The following is a 25,151-nucleotide window of genomic DNA, read 5'->3' as shown; positions in this document are numbered from 1 at the left end:
AGGGACCAGTGTTACAAAATTATGGGTGAAAGATCTTTTCAAAAAGCAAGTAACAGAATACAAAGAGTTCATATATATGAGATTCCATATTTCGACTAACCCTTAAGAAACTCCTACTTGTCAAGTTTTGGTGTAGTATCAAAAAAGAACATCTACAATTATCTGAATGGGCTATTAATACATGTGCTTCCGTTTCACTACATATTTGTGTGAGGCCATTTTTTTTTTCATGTTGCTCAATCAAAACAACATAGCACAACAGATTGAATGTAGACACCAATATGAGAATCCAGCTGTTTTCTATTAAGCTAGGCATGAAAGAAATTTGCAAAGCTTTTATAACAACATAATTTTCACACAAAGCTTTTTTGTTTTTGAAAGCTTTTTTCTGTTTTGAAAACATTTTGTTTTCCTAAAATGTATTGTCTTATTACATATGTTATCTTACTAAGTTTTTAAAATAAATTGATAAATACTTAAACTTTTTCTCATTTAATTTCTAATACGGTGAATGTTGATCATTACAAGCCACATAAACAAAAGCTCTTGGGAGTATTCACTAATTTTTAAGAACACAAAGTGGTCCTGACTAAAGAGATTGAAAACTCTTTCTTTAAGGAAAGAAGGCCAGATTCATCAAATGAACAAAGTTCTGAAGTTTTAATCATTTGGGTATTCCTTTGGAATATGGACTTAACATGCCTCTAGTTTCTTTTTCTGGTTATAAGAATGTATCAGTGGACTACTGTGACATTTTCCAAATATTCAGAGGGTAAGAAGGTTTTTGTTTTTAAAATGGATGCTACCTATGTGGTTGCCATACCAAATTGAGATACAGTTAATGGTCATTCTTGTCAGCCTGTTCACACTTGATACCACTCTATTGGTTGTGAGGTATACCTGTGGTTTTGGAGCTGTTCACCATGGCAGATTACTTCAGGGTTGTAGTGACTCTCACTTTACAGAAGAGGCAGGAGGATTGCTTAAGCCCAGGAATTCGAGTCCAGCCTGGTCAACATAGCCAGACCCCATCTCTACAAAAAATTTAAAAAAAAAATTAGCCCGGTGTGGTAGTGTACACCTGTAGTCCCAGCTACTTGGGAGGTTGAAGTGGGAGGATTTCTTGAGCCCAGGAATTTGAGGCTGCAGTGAGCTATGATTGTGCTGCTGTATTCAGCCTGGGTGACAGAGTGAGACTCTGTCTCTTAATCAAATAAACAAATAATAAACCAATTTTCTTTGAAGTCCATACGCTAATCCGTCCTGACATTTTTAAAGCTATTTTCTAGTACCGTCAATCTACAATTTATGACTGCGTTTGTGAATTAACTATCTGCAACAATGTAATATGAATTACAGATGGGTTCTGTAGTGCCATTAATAGTATGAGTGTTTCAGCCTCATTATGGACTAATTAACATCTTTTTGTGTGGAATTATACTTTTGACTTCTAGAAATCTAGCCAAACACATTCCTCCATTGCAGTCCAGCAGTGGCAGGAAACTCTTCTTTTTCCCTCACAACAGAAACAGGGTTGTTAAAGCTTTAGTGACAGCAAGAGAGGCGTTTTGAAGCAATGCTCAAGAGACACAGATATCTTGGGCATCCCACGTGGGTGGTGGGTGATAGGTAACGCTTTCAGATGAAGCAAGTATAGAAACTTTGGGCCAACTAGCAGTGTTGGAGGGAAAAAACGGATATTCTGGATACTACTTGGTTGTGGGGGGTGATATATTCTCTTTTGGAGCAGATGCTAAAACATAAGAGATGTTTTAAGTTGGGTGTTTCTAAGTTGGGAAATCCATCTATATAGATAAAATTTTCTTGGTCTCTTGTTATATGAACTGAACTCAAATAACAAAAAGACAGGCCAGTTGGGAATGTTGAACAAGTCTTTGGCCAGAAGTTTCAATGTAAAATGAAAGTGATGAACTTCAGGGGCAATCATAACCAGGAGGAACAGTGGAAGCCAAGAGGAGTGTTGGAATATGCAGACTGTTCACAAGGTGCCCAAAACAAATCCACCATGCAGGATGGCTGTTAGAGCAGGCATAGAACTGATGATCAGCTGGCATAGTTCAAAGAATGCCGTGACTCAGCCCCTTGCCCACATGTCTTTGGCAGGAAATACTGCCAGACTAGACTGATGTCTAGTACAGGAAGTCCATTACAGAGAATGGTTGATATAAAGCAGAAATTCAGAACCAGGAGAGTTTGGGGACATGGAGCAGGCCAAAGTTGGAGAACTGGAATTTGACCTGAAGGTGAGCTCCTTGTCCTCTTCCTGCCCAAAGTCAATATTAACCCCTTGGATTGAGGCAAAACTGAGCCAAAAGGGAGACCAAAGTGACTAGAGCTGTCTGCATTGTAGTAACAGGTCTGGCCAAACAAATACTTGTTAGTTGAATGGATAGAAGTAAGACAGGGAAACATTATAGTCTTTCCACTTAGGTTCTTCATGTGACATACACTAGGTATCATGTTACCTACTCACCAAAAAAATAATTTAGGCCAGGGGTTTGCAAACTTCTCCTTGGAAGGACCAGGCAGTAACTATTTTAGTCTTTATGGACCCTATGGACTCTGTTGCACCTACTCAAGTTGGCCACTATAGCCTGAAAGTAGCTGTAGAAGCATACCTAAATGAAAGAATATAGCCATGTTCCAATAAAGCCTTATTTATGGAAGTGGAAATTTAGCTTCATATAATCTTCACATGTCACAAAATATTAGTCTTCTTAAAAAATCTGGTTTTTCAACCATTTACAAATATAAACCCATTCTTAGATCATAGATATACAAGAACAGGTTGCATGCCGGATTTTAGTGCCCAGGCAATAGTTTGTTGACCCTTTTCAGGCAAATAAATTACTATCAGTCATGATGCTGAAAGCTTAGCAGTGCTGAAATAGATGTTTTATAGGACGATGCTGTTGGTGACACTGTCTTATTTTATAGGTGACACTGATGATAAAAATCCATCCAAGAATTTATATGTGACATCTGCAGCAGGTTCAAATCTCTCAGCTATGAGACAAACTGGATACTTCCTAAGGATTGCCATCTATTATGCACAGAGAGCCAAAATCCGTTACTGAAATTGTCTGGGTGAGCCGCCTGCTGGGTCCAGTGATGCACTGGTAGACAAAGGAGTTGAAAAAGAAGTGTGGCATATTCTTTGGATGACTGGCAGAGTGTGACACCAGTATGGCACCAAGCCCTACTATGATTCCAAGGACTTCAGGACTAAAAATATATATATATATAAATGAAAAAAAATTTTGGTGGTATTGGTTGGTGTGGTTGAAGTAAATTTGAGCTTTACTTGGGGAATGTGTATTATATTATCATTCCATAATGTAATTCCTTTGGTAATCAAGCTTTAAAGATCTTATATCTATGAAACTCATATAGTTATCACCTTTTAGTATTGGGTTATCTCACTGTAAGGGAAATACAGTAAAGAAAAACATCTGTTGACTAAAAGGGTTAATTTCAGGACTATGATTTTCATGTGGAAGTGTTTGCCTGGAGGATTCTTGAAATTTTGCCTTCATCTAGAGTATTTAAAATGTTTCTATTTGCAAAAAGCTATTATACTCAGAATTTTCTAGGAAAACATCCTTTTCAGTGGACTCTTCAATAGTAAAGAGTCACACTGTATGGTGTTAGTGTCCATAGAACAGTTGAATTCATAAATTAATATTTTTAGACCTATCAACTAAATTAAATTCACTTAAAATGATTTGGCAAGCAGGTATGAACTGAAAATAAACCTATGTATTTTTGTTTTTTAGAAGTATTGAATCAGAAGAAATTGGAACATCAAAGTATTCTCTGAACCAAATTGATGTTTTATTTGGTTGAGAGTCCTTACTTTTGGTATACTATTTATACCAGTAATAGAGTATTTGAAAGCAGTGCTGGGAAATGAGGTGCATGGATTCTCTCAATGTTGAATCCCATTTTTTTCCCTCAGTGAATCTTCAACATTTTTAAATCTTAGCATTCAACAAAAACTCTACAGCCTAGATATAAACCATAGATTACTTTTTATATAGCATATACAGTTCATCAACAAACAGTAAAGTTTCCTTCATGACTTACCTTGAAATCTTTATTCAAAGGATATACTATTCAATTTTTCAGTGTGCCACTGCCACCACTGCATGTTTTTGGTCAGAGTGCAGTGCAACTAACATCGCCATCCTGCTAGGAAAAAGATCTGCAGGTTGCTGGATAGTGGAAGTTGCACACATCTAATTTACAAGTCAGATTAGAGATCAGAATCTTACAATAGCTTTATGTGGAATTGATTTCATTTCATGGTTTTTAAGCTGTTTTTTCATTGAAGCAATGCCTGTAACTGAAAGACAGGTGTGTTGTAGCATTTGAATACCTTAAACTCTTTTGAATCTGGAATGAAAGGGATGTTCTGGATTCTAAAACTCAGAGATTTTGAATTAAATGCCATCATTCATTTATTGTGCCATAATTGAACTACCTTGAGAACTGAATTTGGAATTACTGTGATTAATATTTGGAAAGCTTTGCCATTTTCAAATACAAGTCACTTTAGGAAGGACCACAATTTGTGTGTGTGTGTGTGTGTGTGTGTGTGTGTGTGTGTGTTTATTTAAATAGAGCAGCAGGCACCTTTTTACCTTATAGATAAGGTAAATTTAATAAGAAATACGTGGTTTTTAACATTGATATCCCATTCTATTTAAGAAGTCCATTGTGGCCTTTCTGGAGGCCTTCAATAAGGGGAAAGGGACGATGAATAGAACACTGTAGATTGCAGTTTATGTTTTTCCTTTTAAGGCAAACCATTTTCAAAATATAATAATGCCAATGAATACATAAATATAGATTGATAGTTTGAAGTTATTTTAAGTTTACCTGTCTATATTAAAATTGAGAGCCATCTCATAAGAGTGAGTATAAAAAAGTTGTTCATTTTAGAGTGCATAGTGCCATTTAATTGAATTAGAGAACACAGTTGCAAAAAAAAAGCATCTTTTAGATGGTTCTTGAGCCATTAATTGATTTATTGAATATAATCAAGAAGAAAAATCCAGATGTTTAAAACTAGTTTTGTATCAGGTCAGAAGAGTATTTAGCTTTATTCTCCTCCACTCCCTTGTCTGATGAGTTCTCATAAATTGCTTTCTGAAATGACAAAACATTGGGATTTGGAAAGCCTTGAGAATTCATCAGTTTTATCTTTTTCTCCAGTGTTTTTTACAAAGGACCCATTTAGTCGTGATATTTATAGGATATGAGGAAGGCAGTGATCCTGGCATTCGTGGACTCCAGAAAACATTTTGGAGAAAAATTAATGTAAGGTAAGGGTGTAGTAGGTATACATTGCTGTATTCATTTTATTGTCCCTTCCTTCCTTCCTTCCTTCCTTCCTTCCTTCCTTCCTTCCTTCCTTCCATCCTTCCTTCCTTCCTTCCCCTTGAAGATCTTGTTGCATACCAATTTATTCATTTTAGTATAGCAGTGACTATTTAAATGGGTCCCTTTCTAACCACCTTTCCCTCCAACCTCAAAATCCCTGGTTAAAATGCTTTTCTTTAAAGAGAGTCAGAGGTAATTTTTTGAATGGAGAAAGTGAGGCTATTCCAGACATTGGGAAATGAGTGGAGTATAAAAGGGAGAATGAGATCTAAATGTGTTGTGATAGATAGTAAGATCATAGATGAACACTCTATTTTTGGATTGAAAAGGGTGCTAGAGTAAGTATATCAATGGAATACAGTGGCTTGTTATCATTATGAACTGTTTAGTAAGTCTCCAGTATGCCAGACATTGAGTAAGACATTTTGCATAAATTCTGTCTTTCCAAAATCTTGAAACAGGTGCAACTATCCCAATTTCCTTATGAGGAAACAAGTTAAATGGTGTATACAAAGTCTTAGAGTAAGAATTGAAATAGAGAATCATACAGCTAGTGGCTCATTTTGTGCAGAGACCTTTTCTTTCTGGTGATTGTCTGATAAGTTATTAGTGAATAGAAAAGAAATCTGAAAGGCCAGCATACATGTAGGGAGATTTTAAGATTAACAGCTTTTAACACGAATGACTTCATGTTAGTGTTGTAGAATGACATTGGAGCCTTCTTGAGAAGCAGTGACATATTTGCGAATATTGTATCTGGACACTAGAACTCAACCATCTAATGGGTTGCCTTTATTATTAGTAAAGTATTGTATAGCTGCACTTTCAGGTGTAAGTGATGCCATGGTACAAAACTCATATACGGAGGGCAGGTGATCATGAGCTACCAAAGAAACTGCTATATATCATAAGCTGAATTGGATCACCTCCAAATAGAATCTGTAGAAAAGTACTTGAAAGAGGACTGGTTCAAGCAGTCATCTGATACAAAGCTGACTACCAAACATTTTGGGATGCAGGGATGATAACTGGATAATGGTATCATGAAGCTCATTAAAATAAGAACTGTAAATGTTTACAGGCTTTACAAGCAGATATATGCAGCTCTGTAACAAAATATCATCTTCTTGGAAAGGACCCATTTGGTTAGGAACAAGGCCTTAGCAGCAGCGTTTTTTTTTTTTGAGATAGGGTTTCACTCTGCCCAGGCTGGAGTGCAGTGATGTGAACATGGCTTACTGCAGCCTCAACCTCTGAGCTCAAGCAGTCCTCTCGTCCCAGCCTCATGAGAAGCTGGGACCACAGGCATGTGATAATACCCAGCTAATTTTTTTAGTTTCTGTAGAGATTAGGTCTCGCCATGTTGCCTAGGCTAGCATTTTTAAATACAAAAGGCAACTGTGCAGTAGGGTGTTGGAGTCAGATGATCTGGTTATGTTTTTTGAGATATAGAGCAAAATGATGTGGGATATTTGGCTTTGCTATTTGTCCCCCAGGGGGAGTGAAGTAAAGCACAGCCAAGGTGATAGTGTCATGGCAGAGCTTAAATGTGAGTACTGTGGCACCTTGGTGTGGGATGTGGTAATGAAGACAGGACAGGTAAAAATGAATGAAATCATGAACTCAAAATGTTAGAGTGAAAAATACTTTTCTAATTGTTTGAAAATACAGAAAAGTAAAAAGGCAAACAGATCATAGGCAAACAAATAAGACAGTTGGACAGAGGTGAGAAGTAGGAGGGCTATTCAAGAGTACAATAGTCCTAGAAAGTTTTTCTCAAAGAGGGAGACGACTTGGAAAGAGAGAGCAGAAAAGTGATTTAGAAATAGATGTTACTGAAATATGTGAGTGAGCTGCTCAAAGACTGCCAGGAGACAGAGAAAATACTGGATAAGAAGGAACAAGTGACCTTTAATATGAAGTTGTATTTCTATCTTATGGTGGTCAAAGGTGACCAGCTAGTTCAGGTAATGGCTTCCCAAGAAAAGACATGCTGATTGTTCCCATTTGTTCTGGGAACATTTATGGATATTTCTATAGGCTGGACTTATCCTTGTATCTTATGATACTGGGTGACTTGGATTTCTGATTTAGAATCTGACTTAGGCTATAAGTTTGTTATGATTATTATCCATATTATTTTCAGCTTTTGGGCAAGAGATTACACTTTAACTGGCTATCCTTGCCATCCTCGAGAAGTAAGGTATCAGATGTGACTTTAAAAATTAACTTTATGGGCCGGATGCGATGGCTCATGCCTGTAATCTCAGCCCTTTGGGAGGCTGAAGCGGGTGGATTACCTGAGGTCGGAGTTTGAGACCAGCCTGGCCAAAATGGTGAAACTCCATCTCTATTAAAAATACCAAAATTAGCCGGGGATGGTGGTGCGTGCCTGTAATTCCAGCTACTTGGGAAGCTGAGGCACAAGGATCGCTTGAACCCTGGAGGTGGAGGTTGCAGTGAGCCGAGATCACTCCACTGCACTCCAGCCTAGGCGACAGAGCAAGACCCTGTCTCAAAATAAATAAATACATAAAAATTAAAATTAACTTTATGGAGTATAATTTATGTCCAATAAAGTGAACCAATTTTTAAGTGAATTTTGACATGTGTGTACACCCATGTTAACTATCCCACTTTCAAAAAATAGAACAGTTTATCATCCCTAAAAGTTCCGTTACGCACTGTTTCTATTTATTTATTTATTTGAGACGGAGTCTTACTCTGTCACCCAGGCTGGAGTGCGGTGGCACTATCTCCACTCACTGCAAGCTTTGCCTCCCGGGTTCACGCCATTCTCCTGCCTCAGCCTCCTGAGTAGCTGGGATTACAGGTGCCCACCACCATGCCCGGCTAATTTTTTGTATTTTTTAGTAGAGACGGAGTTTCACTGTGTTAGCCAGGATGGTCTCGATCTCCTGACCTCATGATCCGCCAGCCTTGGCCTCCCAAAGTGCTAGGATTACAGGCTTCAGCCACTGCGTCTGGCCCCCTTAATGCACTGTTTCTATCAGGCCTTCCCTTTCCTCATCTCCCCACAGACAGCTAGTGTTCTGATTTCTATTTCCATAGATTAGGTTAGCCTGTTCTTGAGCTTCATATATATGAGATGATAGAGTATATACCCTTTTGTATCTGACTTCTTTTCCTCAACATAATGTTTTTGAGATTAATCCATGTTGTTGCATGTATTAGTGGTTCATTCTGTTTTGTTGCTGAGCAGTGTTTTATTTTATGTAATTTGTTTACCATTCTTCAGTTAATGAGCATTTGACTGTTTTTCTATTTATTGGCTCTTGCAAATCATATCACTATAAACAGAATTTTTGTATAAGTCATTTTATGAACATGTATTCCATTTTCTCTGTGTTAAATACCTGAGTGAAATTATTCTTTGATAGGATTGCTATGTTTTAATTTTATAATTATATATATAACTTTATATGTATAACTTTTCCTAAATGGTTATACCCATTTCTACCATGCATTGTTAGTTCAAGTTTGTAGATGTCTGTATTTTGTACCAAGAATATTGGTTTGTACTAAATGATTTTTACAAAGCCAGAGAGCCTGTAGGAGTATTCTTCATGTAATAGCTGAAATCTAGTATATTTTAAAGATATATCTATTTAAAAAAAAAAAACTCTAATGATAATAAGATTGATTAAGTATATATGAAATTATTGATAAGTAGATATGCAGTTATTGACCTGGTTGGTTGCACAGAATTTTTCATTTTCATTTTGCAGGTAGCATGTTTTAATCTAAATTCTAATGTGGACATTTTCCATTGTAAACAGTTGGCTCTTCATGAAATGTATATATAATTAAATATGAATAATACTAATCTTTAAGGTAAAATTTGTATGACCAGATGAAGAATCTCCTTTTTTCTTTTTCCTTGATATGTTTAGTCAGTAGCTTTCCCCCTCATTTTTTTGTAAATCTGTATTTCACATTGAGTTGCTTAAAATGAGAGGTCTCATAATAGGTAAGTGGTAAATGTAGGGGAATTATACACTTTTGATAATAGAATGATGACTAGGAATTGTTTGTTTCAGTATTTTTGCTAAAGCTCCAAAGCTGAAACCAAAGGGTAATAAGTAACCCTGCTTTCTAAAGAGGGATGTGGGGCTTAGTAAAAGAGAATAGACTTGGTTCACCCTCAACACCTGTTTCCCGCATATAGGAGAAATTAGAAGAGAGATTAAAAGTGTCATTCCGATGGAGCTGTTAATCTAGTGGGGAGTTAGTTTTGTGACATTTCCCTGTTTCTCCCCAAATGGACCTTTTTTTTCCAGCCCAGGATTTGGATTTGTCTGCCAGAAGTGTAAATTGATATGTAGTTTGTCTGGATGTTTAATGAGCTGCAGAATCTTGTTTCCTTGTGCTGCAGTGGCACCTTCCAGAGAGTTTTTGAGAAAACGTGATCATAGTCCCATTTTCACACTGCTATAAAGAAATACCTGAGACTGGGTAATTTATAAAGAAAAGAGGTTTAATTGACTCACAGTTCTGCATGGCTGGGGAGGCCTCAGGAAACTTACAGTTATGGTGGAAGGGGAAGTAGGCACATCTTACATGGTGGCTGGCGAGAGAGAAGGGTGAGTGAAGGAGGAACTTGCCAAACACTTGTAAACCATCAGATCTCAGGAGAACTCACTCACTATCATGAGAATAGCATGGGGGAAGCCACCCCAGTGATCCAGTTACCTCCCACTGGGTTCCTCCCTTGACACCTGGGGATTACAATTACAATGAGATTTGGGTGGGGACACAAAGCCTAACCATATCACGTAACATTTCTGAGAGTTGGGAGCACACTTGAACATAGACTTGTTCCTGGAGGGGAGGAGAATGACTGGCGTCAGTCGAGATGGCATGTTGAGTGAGAGAGCAGTAGGTAGAGGAGTCTGCATGTGTCCATCTTGTATGGTTAAGAAGGCATGACTTTTTTTGTCGTGCAAGTGGTCATGGTGGGAGGTAACCAGACTTGAGTTATCTGGATGGATCCTGCCAAGGAGGGCTGCTTGCCATGTGAAGGGACTGTGGGCGGGATAATGGGAGGTTAGCCTAAGAGTGTATTTCCCAGCTGGGTGTAGTGGCTCATGCCTGCATGCCTGTAATTCCAGCACTTTGGGAGGCTGAGGCAGGAGGATCACTTGAGCCCAGGAGTCTATGGCCAGCCTGGGCAACATAGTGAGACTCTTGTCTTTATTCAAAAAAAAAAAAAAAAAAAGAATGTAACTCCCACAATAGGGGACTATGAAAGATGGAAGGGTCACCTTTTTGCTTGCTGTAACTGATGACCCCTCTGCTGTGAAGTCACTTGAGAGTGACTGAGAAATAATGGAATTTATCTGGGGTTTTGAGAGATGGGGAAGTGAGATCCAGAGAAATATGTTTGAAAGCATATATTCCATTGAGTTCAGTTCACTTGACCAGTTTTTTAGTTCAATAGGATTTTTGTTCAGTTGAATAAACCTTTAGTAAGTGCTTAAACAGAATATGTAAGGTACTGTTCTAGGCATTTCATGAAAGGCAAAGATGGCTGTGGTGTTTTCTGTCCTCAGGGAGCTTCTGCTTTAGTGTAAATAGCTGAAGTTAATTCATGGCAGAATGACATAGGTACTTTAAATGTGTAAGTGGCAGTACTATGGGAATTTGGAAAGAACAGTGAATACCACTGGGGTTCAGAGGAGTCTGTGGAGGAGGCCAACTTTGGGCTGGATCTTGAAAGAACAAAAGGATATCAAGTAGGAAGAGAGGCATTCTGGCATGAGGGAATAAACAAAGCCATGGAAATGGGTGACTGAGAAGTAATTCTCATTCACACTGGAAAATGATAATTTTACTTTTTAAATAATGCTTTCAACCATCAATTAAGCTTGCTTGCCCATGTTATAATTCCAGTTGAATCTTGGTATTTTTATGTCATCTTTGCAGTTCTCTAGTGATGCGCAATGTGTCTTCCTTTATGAGCTATAGCGTGCATTATCAAGTTGGAAACGTTACTCACTTTAGTACCTGGATGGTTATAAGCATCAAAACCAAACTTCTAAGTCTAATCACAAAGCCTATTACTTTCCCTGATTTAAAACAGTAAAATGTAGAGAAGATGATGATTTTTACATATCCTAAGAAGCACTTGGCAGAGCAATTAGTTTCATAACAAGTGATTGTTTTTTAAAGCTCTCTCTAGAATAAGAATGAGTATCTTGATGCTAGTGTCACTTTTAAATAGCTATGGCTCCAGGAATGTGTCTGTTCATGTTATTATCTTAAATACACACCTTATCTATCCATATTGCTATACTTCAGATGTGAAAGTGAAAATAAAGGTGTGAAGTGCCTAGCAGACTTGTATGGATTTATGTAAATCAGAAAACACACAAACAATCCATTAGTCTCAGTGCTGAAGCCCTGATATATTAAAATCAAATATGGATTATTTCCTAAAAATTTCACGTACACACATACCATCATATCCAGTGATTTACTTGCCAAAAAAAAAATCTTTATTTCTTTGAACTCTAGACACATATCCAGCTGTCTTATGACATCTCCATATGGATATTTAAAGGAATATAAATCTTCAAATACTTAAAACTGAGCTGATCTTTTTACCCAAACTTGTTTCATCTTTAATCTTCGCCATCTAAGTCCATTGGTGTTACTCAAACCAAAAACGTTGGAGTCATCCCTGACTCTTCTTTTTCTTTCACATTCACAGTTTGTCTCAGTAGTTCATGTTAACTCTACCATGAAAATATATTTAGAATTTGAATCTTATCACCTTTCACTCCCTCTACTACTACCTGGCCAAAGCCACTGTCATTTCTTACTTGGATTATTTTAGTAGCCTCTTGACTGGTCTCTCAGCTTTTTCTCACAACCTGAAACCCAGCACATCAGTCTGGTCTCAATGCAGTATCCAGAATATTTAGGTTAAAACAAGTTAAATCCTGTCGTTCTTCAAAGCTTCATTTGTTTTCTTTCTCACTTAATGTAAAAGGTAAAGTCTTTGTAGTAGCTTATAAGGCTGTATATGATATTGCCCCCTTTGCAACCTCTTTTTTGGACTCTCTACCTAACCTTCATTCATACCTCAGTTTTTGACTCCATTTACTACCCCCCATTCCTGTTTGACACCATATTGTTTCTGGAATAGCTGGCCTTGGGGCTTTTGCGCTTGCTGTTCCCTCTGCCTGTAATGTTCATCCCCCAGGTGACTGCTTAACTTATTCCCTAATCTTTCTTGGGTCTTGAGATGTTGCATCTCTAGTGAGACCTTCTTTGGCCATCTTATTTAAAATGTCCCTCTCCCTGCAACTACTTTATGTTTCTCATTTGCTCTTTGCCAGATGAACTTACGTATATTTTGCTTTACTTTTTATGACCTTTTTCTTTCAGAATGAAAGCTTGATGAGTGCAAAGTATTTTATGTTTTGTTTACTCCTGTGCCATCAGACTTGGAGTCGTTTCTGGCACACAGTTGGCACTTAATGCATAATTGATTGAATGATAAAAGACAATGAAAGATTTATTACCTAGGGGTTAAACCTGTAGTTAGGTTGATTTGTCTTTTATTGTATCTTTGGGGAATGATGCTATTTCCAAATGGCTGAATGTTACTTCTTTTTAATTAAATCATATTTATTGGTATAATTTGCATATAGTAAAATGTGCTTATTTTAAATGTACAAGTTAATGTTTTGACAGATTTACACATTGATGTAACTACTACTACAATCAAGGTACAGAACATCTCCATCACTTCAAAAGTTTCCTTGTGTCTGTTTGTAGTCACTCCTCCCTCATTCTCATCTCCAGGCAACTAATGATCTGATTTTTGTCACTGTGAATTCGTTTTGCCTGCTCCAGAGTTTCAAATAAATAGAATTATACATTATATACTCTTTAGAGCATGATGTTTTTGAGGCTTATTATGTTATTGTATGTGTCATTAGTTTGTTCCTTTCAGTAAAGAATAGTGTTCTATTGTATAAATGTGCTCACAATTTGCTTATCCATGTATCTGTTCATGAACATTTGGGGCGTTTACAGGTTTTTTTGCCTATAGTGAATGACACTACCATGAGCATTCAAGGTGCGAGCCTTTGTGGAAATAGGCTTTAATTTTTCTGGGTTGATTACTCAATAGTAAAATTACTGTTTTATATGGTAAGTTTATGCTTAACTTTGTAAGAAATTGCTTTGAAGAACTATTTTCTTCAGTGATTGTATCATACTCACTAGCAATATATGAAAAAATTCTAGTTGCTCCACATTCTGGCCAGCACTTGGTATAATTCTTTTAAATTCAGACACTCTATTGGGTGTATACTGGTATCTCTTTGTGGTTTTAATTTGCATTTTTCTGATTACCAGTGATGTTGATATTTTCATTTATTCATTGGCCATTTATATAACTTCTTTTGTGAAATAGCTGATGAAATCTTTTGTCCATTAAAAAACGTTGGATTGTTTCTTGTCATTCAGTTACAATAGTTCTTTATATCTTTGTATATCTAGATACAAGTTCTTGTTAGATGTTTTCTCTTGGTCTGTAGAGTAAGTGTAGTTTATCAACATTTTCTTTGGTGGTCTGTGCTTTCTTTCTTTCTTTTTTTTTGGTAATATCTAAGAAATTGTTGTTGTTGTTTTTTTGAAATGAAGTCTCGCTCTGTTGCCCAGTCAGGACTGGGATTACAGGCGTGAGCCACCGCGTCCGGCAAATGTCTAAGAAATCTTTGATTAATACCAGGTTGTAAAAGATTTTCTGTGTTTTCTCCCAAGAGTTTTACAGTTTTGGCTTTTACATTAGGTCTCTGATTTGTTTTGAGTTAATTTTTATATATAGTGTGCGGTAAGGATCAAGGTTTGTTCTCTTCTATATCCACCTGTTCTTTTCCTTTGAATTACCTTGAAATTTTGTTAAAAATCAACTAATCATGGCCAGGCATGGTGGCTCACGCCTGTAATCCCAGCACTTTGGGAGGCTGAGGTGGGTGGATCACAAGGTCAGGAGTTAAGACCAACCTGGCTAACATAGTGAAACCCCGTCTGTACTAAAAATACAAAAAATTAGCCTGCTGTGGTGGCGGGCACCTGTAATCCCAGCTACTCGGGAGGCTGAGGCAGGAGAATCGCTTGAACCTGGGAGGCAGAGGCTGTGGTGAGCTGAGATTGTGCCACTGCACTCCAGCCCAGGTGACAGTGCGAGACTCTGTCTCAAAAAAAAAAAAAAAAAAAAAACAACCAATCATATATGTGTGGGTTTTTTCCTGGGTGCTGTTATATTGATCTATATGTCTATCATGCCAACATAACACTGTTTGTTCAGTAGTAAGTCTTGAAATCACATGGTTTAAGTTCTTTTTGTTCTTTTTTGAAATTGTTTTCACTATTCTAAGTCTTTTCTATTTCCATATCAATTAGAGAATCGGCTTGTACATTTCTACAAAATACTTCTGGGAATTTTAATTTCCATTGTGTGAATTCAGTGGATTGGTTGGGGAGCATTAACATCTAAATGATTGAATTATTCTAAACCATGAATATAGTATACCTCAATTTAGTTATTCTTTCATTTCTCTGAGTAATGTTTTGTAGTTTTCAGTGTGCTAATCTCTTGTGTCTTTTATTAAATTTGTCCTAGGTGAATAGGACGTGAATTATATTTCTGAATGCCATTGAAAATGCTATTTAAAAAATTTACAGTTTGTCATTGTTTCTATACAGAACTAGAATTGATTTTTACATATTGAACCTTGATAATGTAATCATTAATGCTTTTGACTTTTTTTGTGTGAATTCCTCAGGATGCTCTCTATATATGATCTTGTTAATCACAAATAAAGACAGTTACTCCTATCCAATATTAGTGTCTGTTACTTCTCTTTTTCTACAGCACAGATGAGGACAGTGTTAAAGCACAGAGTAGGACACTGTTTACATTGCACAGACTAGTGCAGTGTTAAATAGAAGCGGTGAGAGTGAACATCCTTGCCTTGTTTCTAATCCCAGGGAGGAAGCATTCAGACTTTCACTGTTACGTGTGATATTAGCTCTAAGTTTTTTGCAGATGTACCATATCAGGTAGAGCAAGTTCCCTTTTATTTTAAGTATACTGAAAGCTTTTATTATATTGCATGTGAATGTTGAATGTTTTCATATTTTTTTTTGCCATCTATAGGGTGAATCATTTGTATTTTCTTTTTTTTTTTTTTAATTGTTTTTTTTTTTTTTTTTTTTTTTTAAGACGGAGTCTCGCTCTGTCACCAGGCTGGAGTGCAGTGGCACGATCTCGGCTCACTGCAATCTCTGCCTTCCGGGTTCAAGTGATTCCCCTGCCTCAGCCTCCCCAGTAGCTGGGACTACAGGCGTGCACCACCACGCCCAGCTAATTTTTGTGTTTTTAGTAGAGACGGGGGTTTCACCATGTTGGTCAGGCTGGTCTCGAACTCCTGACCTGGTGATCCACCCGCCTCAGCCTCCCAAAGTGCTGGGATTACAGGCCTGAGCCACCGCGCCCAGCCATTTGTATTTTCTTTTAACACTTGTTAATATGGTGAATTGAATTGATTAGATTTTGAATCTTAAACCTGTCTTTGCATTTTTATGATAAACTCCATTTTTTCATGGAGTTTTATGTTATCTATGGAGGATATATTCTTTTACTATGCAAAATTTGATTTGCTTAATTGCGTTGTTGATTTGTGGATGTGTGTTTATGAGACCTATTAGCTTTTTTTTTCTGGGGGGCTCTTATGGACTGTGTGTGTTCCCTCAAAATTTTTAGGTTGACGTGCTAACTCACAATGGTATTCAGAACTGAGGCCTTTGAGAAGTAATTAAGTTTAGGTGAGGTCATGAGGGTGGGGCCCTCTTAGAAGAAGAAGGAAAAACTAGAGTTCACTCTTTCTCTTTGATGGGAGTACAGTGAGAAGGCAGCCATCTACAAGTGAGGAAGAAGGCCCTCACCAGCTAACTGAATAGGCTGGCATTTCGATCATCCCAGCCTCCAGAACTGTGAGAAATAAATTCCTGTTATTTGAGCCACCCAGTCTATATCGTATTTTGTTATAGAAACCTGAGCTGACTAACCCGGGAGTAGGGTTGTAATGTCTTTGTCAGATTTTGGTATAAAGGTCATGATTGTTTCAGTAGATGCAGAAAAAGCATTTGACAAAATCTGACACTTTTTTTAGTGATAAAATACTCTAAGAATAAAAAGGAAATTTCCTCAACATGGGAAAGGGCATCTATGTAAAAACCACAGCCAACATCTTAATGGTGAAAGAGGAACAGAGCAAGAATGTTGCTTTCACTATTCAGTTTTGTATTGGACATTCTAGCCAAGACAATTTGTCGAGAAAAAGAAATAAAGGCATCCAGATGGGAAAGAAGTAAAACTATCTCTATTTGTAGATGACATGATCTTCTATATAGAAAATCCTAAGGAATCACCAAAATGTATTAGAATTCATAAATGAGATCAACAAGCTTGCAAGGTATAATAGCAATATACAGAAATCAATTGTATTTCTATACATTAGCAGTGAACAAAAATGAAATTAAGAATTCCATTTATAATTGCATCTAGAAATTAAGAAAATAAGCGGTAAAAAAATGGTACTCTGAAACCTACCAAAAATTATTGAAAGAAATTAAAGAATTAGACATCCCATGTTCATGGATCTAGATGACTTAATATTGTTAAGATGTCAGTATTATCCCAAATGATCTACAGATTCAAGGCAATCTCAGCTGCCATTTTTCTTCTTCAGAAAAGGCAAAGCTGATCCTAAAAGTTACATGGAAATTCAGGGTAGTCAGAATTTTTAAAACAGCTTTGAAAAAGAACAACAAAAGTGAAGGAGTCACAGTTCTTGATTTCAAAACTTAATACAAAGCTACAGTACCCAAAACAGGGCGATACTGGTATAATGATAGACATATAGGTCACTGGAATATAATTGAAAGCCCAGAATTAAACCCTGACTTTTATGTTCAATTGATTTTTAAAGGGTGTCATGACAATTTAATAAAGAAAGAATAGTCTTTTCAACAGATGGTGCTGGGATAACTGTGTATCCACTAGCAAAAGAATAAAGTTGGACCCCTTTCATGTACTATATATTAAAATATTAATGCCAAATGGATTATGGACCCAAATGAAAGAACTAAAACTATAAACTCTTAAAAGAAAACATAAGAGTAAGTCTACTTGTTCTTGGGTTAGTCAAAGCCTTTTTACAAGACACCAAAAGCACAAGTGACAGTAGAAAAAATAAATATGTTGGACTTCATCAAAATTAAAAACTTTATACTTTAAAAGACACTATCAAAAATAAAGTGAAAAAAACCAACACACAACATGCAAGAACATATTTGTCAGTTATATTTGTGATAAGGGACTTGTATCCACAATATATAAAGAACTGTTACAATTCAATAATCAAGACAATTCAAAAATATGAAAAGTATCTGAATAGAAATTTTCCAACAGACAGTAGGCATATGCATAGATGCTCTCAGTGTCATTTACTGTTGTGAAATGCAAGTCAAATCAGAATTTCTCATCTGCGTCTTTGTATTTTAAATTATAAATAAAGTTTATATTTACCTCTGGAAGTTCTACTTTTTAAAATAGCTTTTATTTATTATTATGTTACATTTAGAAATAAATTCTTCTGTAATCCCAGCACTTTGGGAGGCTGAGGTGGGAGGCCTACTTGAGGCCAGGAGTACAAGACCAGCCTGGCGAATATAGTGAGATCCTGTTTCTATTAAAATAATTATTAAATACATTGTCAAGTACTGTTTTAGTATATTCATTGTTTAGTGTACTTGCTATCCTGGTATGTTTGTTCCATCATATCTGTTATTTCTGGATCTATTTTTTATTGACTGATTTTTGTCTTAGTTATGAGTCACATTTTTCTTCTTTGTATGTCTGGTAATTTTTGGTTTGCTGATGGGGATTGTAAATGTTGCATTATTGAATGTCTTGATTTTACTGTCTTTTAAAAAAGAGTTTCAGTTTTAGCAGGCAGTTTACGTTCTTTGTGAATCAGCTTGATCTTTTTGGGGCTAGTTTTGTTTGTTAGGATTGTTTTGAGTATCCTTTACTATAGAGGAGGTAAATTAATAGAGGAGGTAAACTATACAGAGGTAAATTAATCTTATTTCTAAGGTGTGATTCTTCTTTATCCTCTGCTGAATGCTGTGCATGGTCAACGAAGTCCGTCTACTCTTCTATTCCAAATCTGCCTGTCTTCCAGGCTTCTGTGACCTTTTGGAAGTGTTGTTATTGTTCTCTCATATTTGTTCTTTTACCAGTCTCATGGAATCTTAGAATATTCCTCAGAAGAGTACACATGGAACCCTTGTGTAGACATGTGGTGCTTTCCCTCTTCTTAGCTCCTTTTACGTATGTACTGTACACTTATAAACTTAAGCTACCTCAGGCTTCCTAAAACTCTGATATCTGTTCCCGCGATTCAGCTGAACCACCATGTACTTAGTGTCTCCCACCATGATGCAGAGAGTGCCTCCAGGCAGAAAGCTGGTGCAATCATAGGGTTTCCCTTTCTTTTAGGGATCATAGTTCATTGCTGCCATTATTGTCTACTGTCTGAAAATGATTGTTTTGTATGTTTATCAAATTTTCTGGTTGATTATGGTATGAAGTGGGCAAGCCTGGTGCTAGTTAATCAAAGCCAGTATTGGAAATGCCCTGTTACTCCCTTTTTAGTATTGAAATTTAAGAAAAAAATAAAAGTTTTTGCATGTATCTAAGTGTTTTATTTATACATATCTCATCACAAAAAATTGTTGAACATTTTCCACCCTTTTCTTGATGACTTCTCTTTTAATTATTTTATGATGCAGACTTATGTGCTTTAGACTTTTGAAAATACTCCTCTCCTAGTTTTCCTAATTTATCTTTTCCTCCTCCAGTATTTTGTCCATATTGAGGCCAATTTCAGTTTTCAGTGGCTCCCTTATTCCCTGAAACAACCTTTTTTTAAATAAATCATCTTCATTATTCACAAAAGGAGGTTTTAATATTTAACCTTGGTACTTAAGGGCCTGTCCAGTAAGTCTCCTGTCTGCATATTCTACGTTTTTATACTTAACATAGTACTTCACTGCCTTGGCCAGCATTACTTTACTAGCCTCTGTTTCTTTGGTAATACCGTTTCCTTTGCTGAAAGCCTATCTTCAGTGCTCTCTGTGAAAAGCTTCACCATTCTTCAAAGTCTCTCATTTCTTTATTGTGGTGCTTTTCTTTTCTTTTTTTTTGGAGATGAGTTTCGCTCTGTCTCTGTCACCCAGGCTGGAATGCAATGGTGCGATCTCTGCTCACTGCAACCTCCGCCTTCCGGGTTCAAGCAATTCTCCTTCCTCAGCCTCCTGAGTAGCTGGCATTACAGGTGTGCACAACCATGCCTGGCTAATTTTTGTATTTTTAGTACAGACAGGGTTTCACCATGGTGGCCAGGCTGGTCTCGAACTCCTGACCTCAAGTGATCCCCCCCGCCTCGGCCTCCCAAAGTGCTAGGATTACAGGCCTGAGCCACCATGCCCGGCACTGTGCTTTTCTTACTAGGATCTAGTTACTGGTTACAGATACTAGTTTTCTTACTAGGTTATAGTTCTTGAATATTTGTCAAATACTCCTTACTACTTTGTAAGCCCATCAAATGCTGTACTCATCTTTGATTCTGCCATAGGCCGGTGTTCTGACTGGCCTAGAAGTTGGCGCATAGTTGATGTTCTGTAAATACCTATTGAATATTGACTGAAACAGCCTTTAAAATAGAAATTATAGATAAATTTGGCAGGTGTATCCTGATCTTCCGTGTGGCTTTTTGAGGTAATAAGTTTATGGTACGAGTGCACTGTCTAAGTATCATGCTCTCCTAAGATACACCTTTCTGTATGGCTGTAATTCTAAGTTAGGGAACAGATAGAAATAAAGGGTCTGTTCATTTCATCTGTGTAGTGTTCAGTAAAGACAGGGAGATTGCTATGGGCAATCTATTGGTTACCCCACTTGTTCTCCAGTGTAATCGATATCTTTCTTTTTACTTATTTTATGACTCTTCTAGCTTAATATCTTTTAGTCCACAGACATATATGTGTGAGTATATATATGTATATAATTATATATATATATAATTGAGGAAAAGCAGTATTTGTGGTGGCATGGGGTAAACACAAGTAAGCCCTCAATGACTTTGGTAGACAGATATTTTCTGTATGCCCTAAGTGTGGAGATGAGTGCCATTGTAGGTAGAGGAGGAGCACTTGGATGTGTGGTGGCCCCTTAAGGTTCTCAGAGGCTTATAGCTAGGTGTGTAAGTCAGGGAGGGCCAAATGTGCTTTGCCTAGCACAACTTTCACTGACTGAGCAGTCTATTTTCAGATAGTCCTTCAGATAATGAAAGTTGTCATTGCTTAATTTTATACACTCTTCCACTTATTTATACCTACTGCCATTTACTGAGGTCATCCCTTCAAAAAATATTTCTTGAGGACCCATGATGTGCCCGTGCTGGCACTGAAAAGATAAAGAAGACATGCCTCCTGGAGGAGTGGCAGTGGCCTTCAGAGGTCTTGATTAGTGCTTTGAGGCCACTGTTTGTGGAACCTGGCGTTTAATACTTGCATTTCCTCCAGAAAGCATGTGGGCATTGGTAGTGGATGTGCTTTTAAAAAGAGCCTCTTATGGCTGTATTTTGTACATGATCCCGTGTTTAATAAGATGGATGATTCAGTTTCTTCTGTGAATTCAGGTTGTGATATTTGCATCTTTGGAAATGCTATTTAGGAAATAAATACCAGCATGGAAATTCATAGTTTGTTAATTTTCTTGAAGCTACAAGGCCTGGTGCGGTGGCTCATGCCTGTAATCCCAGCACTCTGGGAGGCCGAGATGGGTGAATCACCTGAGGTCAGGAGTTTGAGACCAGCCAGGCCAACTAGGCGAAACTCTGTCTCTACTAAAAGTACAAAAAGTAGCTGGGCGTGGTGGTGCGCATCTGTAGTCCCAGCTACTCAAGAGGCTGAGGCAGGAGAATCACTTGCATCTGGGAAGCGGAGGTTGCAGTAAGCTGAGATCATGCTACTGCACTCCAGCCTGGGTAACAGAGCGAGATTCTGTCTCAAAACAAACAAACAAACAAAAAAACAAGACAAAACAAAAAAGGTACATCTTTTTTACTAAGTTGCATAGCTGTGGTATTTTGTGTAATGGTAATTGAAATGTAAAAAATGGTTTATTGGAAGGATTTTTGGTTTTAATCAGATTTTTTTAAATAAAGATTAAAACATTGGCATTGCAATTGGCTAGGAAAAAAACCCATTTTCTTTCTTTTTTTCAATGTACTAGCCTTTGGTAAACAGATGGTCAGATTAAATGCTATATAATTGAAAGTGCCTCAGAGTAAAAACTTGCAGATATTTGGGAAAGGAAATATAGTTAATACCAAAAAATTTTGGGGGCTTCTGGTTCACAAATTTGCATTACTCATCCTCCTTAGCTGATAACATATAATCATCAAGAGGCTGGACAAGACCATTTTCTCGTTTTGAGTTATTATTTTTTTTCCTTTAACCCCTATCCCTACCCCTGTTTTCCACCCCTATCCCAGCTTCCCTTAGTAGACCTTGACTTGCATGTGTTTGGCATATTACCTTGGATTGGCACATATCTTTGAAAAATACAGAACAGTTCGTATATTATGTATATCTTAAATTCAGACCTCAAGCTTTCTTTTTTCACTTTTGACACTGTTTTTAGTTTAGACATGTTATGGTGTATATCTCTAGCTAAATACTTCTAAACATAGTTTGGTTCCTTTGTAAGTTATCCAGGTAATGGATGAATGGATTGCTTCTAAAACCACTTAGACATAATGCTGTGATAAACATCTGTACACAATTTTAATACTAGTTTTATGTGTAAGTTCTTTGGGCTGTGTATTTAGGAGTGGGATTGTTGGATATAGGATAGTGGCTTGCAATAGCATTTTTCCCCGCTTGTTCATTTATATTTTTCTCATACAATTTGTATATCATTTGGCCATTTAATTATAGATAATTAAAAAAAATAGTTTTTACTGTGGTAAAATGGACCTAACATAAAATTTACTATTTTTACCATTTTTAAGTGTATAGGTCAGTGGCATTAGGTACATTCCCATTGTTGTGCAGCCATCTCTACCATCTTTATCCAAAGCTTTTCACCTTCCTCAACTGAAACTGTACCCATTAGGCAGTGGGTACTCACTCCCCAGGCAACCTGGCAGTCCGTGGCAGACTTTGTCTTTATGAATGAGACTACTCTAGGTACCTCATATAAGTTGAATCATACGGCATTTGCCATTTTGATTGACTAGTTTATTTTACTTAGTATAATGTCTTCAAGGTTCATTCATGTTGTAGCATATGTCAGAATGTTTTTCCTTTTTAAGGCTGAATAATATTACATTGTATATACATATACCACATTTTATTTCTCCATTCGTCCACTGATGGACTCTTCTACTTTTTGGCTGTTGTGAGCAATGCTACTATGAATGTAGGTATACAAATAATCTGTTCAAGTCCCTGATTTCAATTCTTTTGAGATGTATACCCAGAAGTGGAATTGCTGGATCATAGTTTTATTTTTTGAAGAACTGCTATACTCTTTTCCATAGTGGCTGCACCATTTTGTATTCCCACCAGCAGTGTACACGGATTTCAATTTCTCCATATTCTTACCAACACTTGTTTTTAAATTTTTAAAAAATTAAAAAAGAGAACTCTATATTACAGTAGTAGCTAGCATTAAGTAAGGGCTTACTGTGAGCCCAAGTGCTGTTCTGTAAGTTTTACATGTGAGAAACTTTTAGCCTTCACAACAGGTTTCCAAAATATATATATAGAGAATACGCCATTAATAGAGTTCCTCGGATAACAGAGTGATACACTGGAACTTTGAATTGAGGCACCAGTATTCAACACATGCTTCTATATCCAAAGGAAGTGCTAGACCATATACAGAATTATAGAAAGCTGGTTTTGTGACATTTGAATCCCTTTACTCACATAGAGGCTATCAAAGTGGGGGTGTTGGGGGGGAAGATTTTGTTAGATGAATTTTTCTGCAGGTCATCAGAGTGCTGTATGTTTTACCCTTGTCTCCCACAAGTTAGGGGTCTCTGAATCTTTTGTCAAGTCTAGTGAGAGAAGTTTCAACTAAACTTTATCTTGGGGTCACAGGATATTGATGCTTGACTCATACCTGGGAAAGCTGAAGTGTTCTATAGCAGTAGTGCTGGGTTTGAGAAGTAATTGCACTCTTCTCTGTCAACAGGGAAATCAACCTGCTCTCATTTTTAAGGGGATCCTGCTGAAAAAAAAGTCTCCTGCCAGGGCAAGAAGATCCCAGCAGTAATGGGCTGTTTGTGTACCACCAGGGGTTAGAAGCTAAGGAGGCATTAAGAGCTTTTAGCAGAGAGAGAGAGCAGTGTCTCTGGCAGGATATTTGCAATTGGAGGAGTATACCATTGGAAGAGTGCACATAAGCTCCCCAAGAGAGGAAGAATTAGCGTTAAACACTCTGCCATATCCCCTCTGCCATAGCCCTAGATCATTTTGCTACAGATAGCAATCAAGAACTGTCTTATATGCCTGACCTCTCCTCCCTTTCCTGACCTTGATCCTGGTGGGCTCAGAAAACTCAGGAAGATGGTGGAAGAGAAATTTGGTGAGATGAGGAGGATCCTGTTCCTTCCTTCACTGACAGTGGCTGGTGCTGGGCAGGCCCCAGCTGAGTGAAGAACATAGATTTAATGTTACATGTACTTTGGAGTTTTGATTGTTATTTGGGTCTAGTCTTTTTATTTTGTAAAATTTCAAGCCTATTGGAATGTTGAAACAATACAATACAATAAACACCCCATACCTTTTACCAGTTATTAACATTTAGCCACGGTATATATTGTATTTATACTCTTTTGGGCAGTGGGATGGGGCTGAACCATTCAAAAGTGACGTTTTACCCCTTCAGCTTGTTTATCTTAAGAATTAAAATATTCTCTCTCTGGGCGCGGTGGCTCACGCCTGTAAATCCAGCACTTTGGGAGGCCAAGGCAGGCGGATCATGAGGTCAGGAGATCGAGACCATCCTGGCTAACACAGTGATACCCCATCTCTACTAAAAATACAAAAAATTAGCTGGGTGTGGTGGCAGGCGCCTGTAGTCCCAGCTACTCGGGAGGCTGAGGCAGGAGAATGGCGTGAACCTGGGAGGCGCAGCTTGAAGTGAGCCGAGATCGCGCCATTGCACTCCAGCCTGGGCGACAGAGCGAGACTCCATCTCAAAAAAAAAAAAAATTAAAATATTCTTCTATGTAGTCGTAATACTTTTACCACACCGAGGTCTTTACCATTGGTATAATAATGTATACTATACAGTCTATATTCAATTTTCCCTAATGATCTAAGACTTTTTTTTTCTTTTTTAAGAGATGGAATCCAGCCCGGCACTGTGGCTCACACCTGTAATCCCAGCACTTTGGGAGGCCGAGGTGGGTGGATCACGAGGTCAGGAGATGGAGACCATCCTGGCTAACATGGTGAAACCCCATCTATACTAAAAATACAAAAAATTAGCCAGGTGTGGTGGCACGCACCTGTAGTCCCAGCTACTTAGGAGGCTGAGGTAGGAGAATCGTTTGAAC

The 25,151-nt window shown here is 37.4% G+C and overlaps 1 protein-coding gene across 55 annotated transcripts in view, besides 1 other annotated feature; it reads left to right on the top strand.

Annotated features, from left to right (window-relative positions):
* The window catches only part of QTMAN (queuosine-tRNA mannosyltransferase), a 395,002-nt gene that overhangs the window by 10,243 nt on the left and 359,608 nt on the right, over positions 1-25,151 (top strand). For 3 of the 55 annotated variants that reach the window (NM_001376322.2, NM_001376310.2, NM_001354352.2), the window contains exons 2-3: positions 2,959-3,108; positions 5,239-5,348. The exons of 49 other annotated variants lie outside the window; for them this stretch is intronic. The gene's annotated coding sequence lies outside the window, so the exon portion shown is untranslated. Of the gene's footprint in view, positions 1-2,124; positions 2,265-2,958; positions 25,133-25,151 lie in introns of all 55 variants that reach the window. 3 more of the 55 variants (NM_001354351.2, XM_047445844.1, NM_001376311.2) reach the window with 3 other exon arrangements.
* Positions 12,297-12,366: an enhancer, noted in NCBI's record as "active region_16602". NCBI's record gives its function as "activates an Ori minimal core promoter by ATAC-STARR-seq in GM12878 lymphoblastoid cells {active_cell/tissue: GM12878}" and the evidence as "EXISTENCE:reporter gene assay evidence [ECO:0000049][PMID:35858748]".

Source organism: Homo sapiens, chromosome 2 (genome assembly GCF_000001405.40).
Source record: "Homo sapiens chromosome 2, GRCh38.p14 Primary Assembly".
Classification (NCBI taxonomy): Eukaryota; Metazoa; Chordata; class Mammalia; order Primates; family Hominidae; genus Homo; species Homo sapiens.
Note: the sequence above shows the minus strand (reverse complement) of the source record. Positions and strands in the feature narration are given on the sequence as shown.